The sequence below is a fragment of the Homo sapiens genome, chromosome 16 (genome assembly GCF_000001405.40).
Source record: "Homo sapiens chromosome 16, GRCh38.p14 Primary Assembly".
Lineage (NCBI taxonomy): Eukaryota > Metazoa > Chordata > Mammalia > Primates > Hominidae > Homo > Homo sapiens.
In genome coordinates, this window is record NC_000016.10 from 59,279,519 (window position 1) to 59,286,480 (window position 6,962).

The 6,962-nt window shown below is 39.7% G+C and overlaps 2 annotated features.

Annotated features, from left to right (window-relative positions):
• Window positions 647-1,148: an enhancer, noted in NCBI's record as "H3K4me1 hESC enhancer chr16:59314069-59314570 (GRCh37/hg19 assembly coordinates)". NCBI's record gives its function as "activates a minimal SCP1, AML or CMV promoter by ChIP-STARR-seq in primed H9 embryonic stem cells {active_cell/tissue: H9 hESC(primed)}" and the evidence as "EXISTENCE:reporter gene assay evidence [ECO:0000049][PMID:30033119]".
• Window positions 1,149-1,648: an enhancer, noted in NCBI's record as "H3K4me1 hESC enhancer chr16:59314571-59315070 (GRCh37/hg19 assembly coordinates)". NCBI's record gives its function as "activates a minimal SCP1, AML or CMV promoter by ChIP-STARR-seq in primed H9 embryonic stem cells {active_cell/tissue: H9 hESC(primed)}" and the evidence as "EXISTENCE:reporter gene assay evidence [ECO:0000049][PMID:30033119]".

The window sequence follows — 6,962 nt, forward strand, 5'->3', positions numbered from 1 at the left end:
ATTCAACAGATAAGTGACAGGAAACACCTGATGCATAGAAAGATAGGGATGTGAGGCAGCTGGCTCGGATGGAACTGGCTGGGAGTCTGGAGAGGCTCCCCAGTGAAGGGAAAGGGCAAGTGAGAGATCCCCAGCAGTCCACATTTCCACCATACACTTCTGCAATTCTAGCCACACTAGAGCCTCTCATCTCCTGTGGGCCCTTAGACTAGCATAGGGAGCTGCTTGGAGAATGAGTGATGACATTGCTCCAGAGAAGGAGCTCATGCTGGGTCCTACACACCCTCCAAGTCCTAAGCAGCTGCAACATGGTGCCATTTTGAGAGCCGAGCACCCATCAGACTGCATCTTGCTCTGGGGCTGGACAGCACCTGCATCTCCACATCCGTGGAGCTCCACGGATTTCCCCCCACATCTACCCAGAGGACTGCAATGGTATAACACCTAGCAATGCTGCAAGGTCCCAAGCACTCTAGCCTACACAGTGTCTTGCATCTCAATAAATTGGCAGTGCAGTGCAATAGGAAGGTGACCCCTGGGACAAAGGGAACCAAAGCCTATGCTCCCCAGAGCCTGAGAGCTGTCTGCCCGGGGCCACTGCCACTGACAGCATTCCTGCCCTTCCAGTAGCAGAGCCACAGCCTACTTGTAAATACCTTGAGGACAGTCTCTCCTTTCCCACTGCCAGTGCTGCTGGGCACCAAAGCATACTCTCCCAGAGCCTGAGAGCCATCTTCCAGGGGTCAGTAATTCTGATTGCAAACTTGTCCGCCTCCTGCAGGCAGCAGGGCCACAGCACACTTACATATGCCCTAAAGAAAGGCTCTCCCCATGTGCCATTATTGCTGGGGGCTGAAGTGAGTGCTCCGAGAGCCTGAAAGCCATCTGCCATGGGCCAGCCATTGTTGCTGACTGCAAACCTGCCCCTCTCCTGCAGCAACAAGGACACACCACGCTTACACATGTCCTAAGGAAAGGCTCTCTCCATGTGCTGCCACTGCTGAAGGCCAAAGTGTGTGTTCCCCAGAACCCAAGAGCCACTTCTGCTATAGACAGCAACCCTGCTGCTGCCTCCAGCAGCAGGGCCACCATACACCACAAGTGCCTGGAAGACAGGCTCTTTCTATCCACTTCCACTACTCCACTGCCAGCCAAGTACAAGGCCCAGGAGCCTGGGGATGACTCCAGTGGCCCATATGCCTGTGCACACCACCAGGGAGCCTGAGGAAAGCATTGCTTGGCCTGGCACTGCCCCTTCAGTGCTCAAGCATCTGTCCAGAGGCCTGGGGGCTCACCTTGGCCTGTCCATCACTGCTGTCATCTGTGCACTTCCCCTGGAGGCTGAGGACACACCCACTCAGCTTTCGGCCATGACTACATTTAGCACCCAACTTCATGCACCCCCCTGAAGGCCTGGGGATTGGCCTCCCCAGCCTGTCACAGCCATTGCTAATAACAGCGTATTCCATATGGGATCTCAAATATTTTTCCACCCCACTATACTATTGCCCATGTAACACATGCTGCCCAGAGGCCTGGGACCTGGCCACTAACTCAACCCACTGCTGCCACTACTGGTACCTACGAAAGTCACCTAGCTGGGTGCAGTGGCTCATGCCTGTAATTCCAGCACTTTGGGAGGCCGAGGCAGGTGGATCACCTGAGGTCAGGAGTTCGAGATCAGTCTGACCAACATGGAGAAACCCCATCTCTACTAAAAATACAAAAAATTAGCCAGGCGTGGTGGCACATGCCTGTAATCCCAGCTACTTGGGAGGCTGAGGCAGCAGAATCGCTTGAACTCGGGAGGTGGAGGTTGCGGTGAGCCAAGATTGTGCCATTGCACTTCAGCCTGGGCAACAAGAGCAAAACTCTGTCTCAAAAAAAAAAAAAAAAAAATGCCACCCAGAGGCCAAGAATCAGCCCACCTGGACCTGATAACACTGGTGACTCTGTATGCTGCACAGAGGTCCAAGAACAAGTCCTGTTGGCCCACTGCTGCCACCAGTGAGGCCTGAATACTGGCATATTTTGTGTCCCCATCTCCAGCAAAGCCTCACCACATCCTGAACTAACAACTGTAGTAAGCCACTGGAGAAATTATAGACACTGCTGATGCTGTTTATAGCCAAAGAAATGTTTAGAGTACACACCCAGTATCAAAGCTAAATTGCCCTATCCAACCAATGCCATAGATATAGCTTCAAGAAAAAGTTCTCCCCTACAAAAACCAATCCAAAAAAAAATTGGAATAGCCTGTTACTCTAGATGCACAGGTATCAATGTAAGAACACAGGAAACATGAGCAGGGAAGTATGACACTTCCCAAAGAACATAATGATTATCCAGCAACAGATTCCAATCAAAAAGAAATTTATAAAATCCTAGAATAATTCAAAATAATGATGTTAAAGAAGTTCACTAAGATACAAGACAACACACATAAATGATATAAATAAATCAGAGAAATAATTTAGGATATGAATGAGACATTCATCAAAGAGAGATTAAAAAAACAACCAAACGGAAGTCCTGAAAGTAGAGGAATTAATGAATGAAATAAAAAACACATTTGAAAGCTTCGACAATGGACTAGATCAAATAGAAGAATGCATTTTAGAACTTGGTGACAGGTCTTTTGAAATAACACAGTCAGACACAAAAAGAAAAAGAAAAAAAGAATTTTAAAATGAACAAAGCCTATATGACATGTGGGACACCATAAAGTGACCAAATATCCAAACTTTGAGTGTTCCAGAAAGTGAAGAGAAGGCCAAAGTCACAGAAAACCTATTCAACAAAATAATAGCTGAAAACTCCCCAAGTCTAGCAAGAGATTTAGATATCCAGACATAGGAAACCCAGATATCCCCAAATAGATACAACCCAAAAAACTATTCTCTGTGGCACATTATTGTCAAACTGTCAAAAGTCAAAGAAAAAGAGAATTCTAAAAACAGCAAGAGAAAAGCATCTAGTCACACATAAGAGAACCCCCATCTGACTAATAGCCAACTTCTCTTCAGAAACCCAAAGTGCTGAAAGAAAAAACTGTCAGCCAATACTATTATGCTCAGCAGTTATCCTTTATGAATAGAGGAGAAATAGTCTTTCCTAGAAGAGGAATTCGTCACCACTCTACTGGCCCCACAAGAAATGCTTAAGGGAGAGCTTCACCCAGAAGTGAAAGCACAATGTTAACATCATAAAAGCACATGAAAGTATAAAATTAACTGGTAGAGCAAACACACAAATGAGGAAGAGAAAGGAGTCAAATGTTACCATTACAGAAAACTACCAAACTGCAATAATAAGCAATAAGAGAGAAATAAAGGAACAAAGGGTAGATAAAACAACCAAAAACCAGTTACCAAAATGACAGGAGTAAGTCTTCACATATAAATAATAACTTTGAATGTAAACAGATTAAATTTTCCACTTAAAAATACAGACTGGCAGAATGGATATAAAAAAGTGACCCAACTATATGCTGCCTACAAGAAACTCACTTCACTTGTAAAGACACTAATAGATCAAAAGCAAAGCAATGGAAAAAGATATTACTTGCACACAGAAACTAAAAGTGAGCAGGAGTGGACATACTTATACTAGTTAAAACAGACTTTAATCAAAAACAGTAAAGGGAGGTCATTTTATAATAAAGGGATCATTTCAGCAAGAGGATATCACAATTATAAATATGTATACACCCAACATCAGAACACCCAGATGTGTACAGCAAATATCAGATGTAAAGGGAGAGGTAGAGTCTAACACAGTAATAGTTGGGGACTTCAACACCCCATTCTCAGCACTAGACAGATGATCTAGTCAGAAAATCTATAAGGAAACATTGGATTTAAACTGGACTTTAGATCAAATGGACCTAATAGATATTTACAGAACATTTACTCCAACAGCTTCAAAATACACATTCTTCCCATCAGCACATGAAACATTCTCTAAGGATAGACCAGATGTTGAGCCACAAAACAAGTCTCAACAAATTAAAAAATATCAAACTTATATCAAGTATCTTCTCAGACTATAATAGAATAAAACTAGAAATCAATAACAAAAGGAACTCTGGAAACTACAAATATATGGAAATTTAACCACATGTTCCTGAACAACCATTGGGTCAATGAAGTAGTTAAGATAATTAAGGACAATTTTTTGAAACAAATGAAAATGGAAACATAACATACAAAAGCTTTGGGATCCAGCAAAAGCAGAGCCAAAAGAAAAGTTTGTAGCAATAAATGCCTACATCAAAAAGTAACAATAAACAATAAAATGGTTTCAAATAAACAAACTAACACTGCACCTCAAGAAACTAGAAAAGCAAGAACAGATCAAAATCAAAATTATTAGAAGGAAAGGAATAATAAAGATAAAAGCAGAGGTAAATGAAATAGAGACTTAAAAATACAAATGAACAGTGCAATGAAAAGCTATTTTTTAAAGACAAAATCAATAAACTGCCAGCTAGATTAACCAAAAAAAAGATAAAGACCCAAATACATAAAATCAGAAACAAAAAAGGAGGTATGATAACTGATACCACAGAAATAAAATAGATAATCAGAGATTATTATGAACAACTGTACACAAACTGGAAAATCTAGAGAAAATGGATAAATTTCTGAACACATACAACCTACCAATACTGAATCAGGAAGAAATAGAAAACTTGAACAGGCCAATAACGAGTAGTGAGGTTGAACCATTAAAAAAATTTTTCCAATAAAGAAAAGAAGCCAAGGACTAAATGGCATTACTGTCAAATTCTACCAAACTCATAAAGAAAAAAACAATTCTCCTTAAACGATTCCAAGAAATTGAAGAGGAGGAAATTCTCATTAATTCATTTCATGAGGCTAGCATTACCCTGCTACCAAAACCAGACAAGGACACAATAAAACTACAGGCCAATATCCCTGATGACTACAGACACAAAAATCCTCAGCAAAATACTAGCAAACGGAATCTAACAGCACATCAAAAAGATAATACACCATGATCAAGTGAAATTTATTCCAGGGGTTCAGGGTGGTTCAAATACACAAATCAATAAGTGGGATATATCACATCAACAGAATGAAAGTCAAAAACCATATGATCATCTCAGCAGATATAGAAAAAGCATTTGATAAACTTCAACATCACTTTATGATTAAAAACTCCTAATAAGCTAGGCACAGAAGGAATATACATCAACATATTAAAGGCCATGTGTGACGAACCTATAGTTAACATCATACTGAATAGGGAAAAGCCAAAAGCCTTTCCTCTAAGAATGCCAAGAAGACAAGGATACCCGCTTTCACTACTGGAAGTTGTAGCCAAAGCAATCAGTCAAGAAAAAGAAATAGTAAGCATTCAAATTGGAAAAGTGGACGTCAAATTGTCCATCTTTACAGATGATGTGAATTTATATTTAGAAAACCCTAAAGACTCCACCAAACAACTCTGAGATCTGATAAACAAATTCAGTAAAGTTGCAGGATACGAAATCAAGATAAAAAAAATCAGTAGCATTTCTATACACCAGTAATGAACCAGCTGAAAAAGAAATCAAGAAGGCAATCCTATTTACAACAGCTGCAAAAAACACCAAGGGATACATTTAACTAAGGAGGTTAAAGACCTCTGTAAGAAAAAAAAAAAACCTTACAAACACTGATGAAAGAAATTGAAGAGGACACAAACACCTGGAAAGACATCCTATGCTCACGTACTGGAAGAGTTAATATTGTGAAAATGACCATACTAACCAAAGCAACCTACAGATTCAGTGCAATTGCTACAAAATGCCAATGACTTTTTTTTACAGAAATAGAAAAAAAATCCTAAGATTCATACAGAACCAAAAAAAAGAGCCTGAAGAGCTAAAGAAATTCTGAGCAAAAAGAACAAAGCTGATGGCATCACATTACCTGACCTCAAAATACAAGACTATACTAATCCAAACAGCATGATATTGATTTAAAACAGATATGTAGACCAATGGACAAGAATAGAAAGTCCAGAAAAAATCCATGTATTTATAGACAACTGATTTTCAATTAAGGCATCAAGAACATACCTTGGGAAAAGGACACATTCTTCAGAAAATGTGCTGGAAAACTGGATATCTATGTGCAGCCGTATGAAACCGGACTCTTATCCCACATAAGAGTGGTATACGAAATGAAGGATTTATTAGAGACTTAAAAGTAAGACCTGAAACTATAAAAAGACTAGAAGAAAACATTGGGAAAACACTCCAGAACATTGCTCTATGCAACGATTTTATGGCTAATATCTTAAAAACACAGTCAACAAAAATAGACAAATGGGACTTAATTAAAATAAAAACTTTCTGTGCAGCACAAGAAACAATCAATAGAGTGAGCAAACTGTTGAATGGAAGAAAATATTTGCAAACTATTCCTCTGACAAGAGACTAATAACCCAAATATACAAGAAACTGAAACAACTCACTAGCCAAAAAGCCAACTAATCCCATTAAAAAGTGGACAAGGAACATGGGTAAACATTTCTCAAAAGAAGACATAAAAATGGCCAACAAGTAGATAAAAAAATGGTCAACATCACTAATCATCAGGGAAATGCAAATCAAAACTATAATGAAATACCATCTTACACCACTTAGAGAATGAGTGTGGATAAAGGAGAGATTTCTCAAAAAAACTAAAAATGGAACTACCATATGATCCAGCAGTTTCACTACTGAGTATTTATCTAAAGGAAAGGAAATAAATATATCAAAGGGATACCTGCATCCCCATGTTTATTGCAGTGGTATTCACAATAGCAAAGATACGGACTCGAGCTAAGGGTCCAGCAACAGATGAATTGATAAAGAAATGTGGTGTACAGACACAATGGAATACTATTTAGCCATAAAAGAGAATAAAATGCTGTCATGTGCAGCAACATGGGTTGAATTGGAGGTC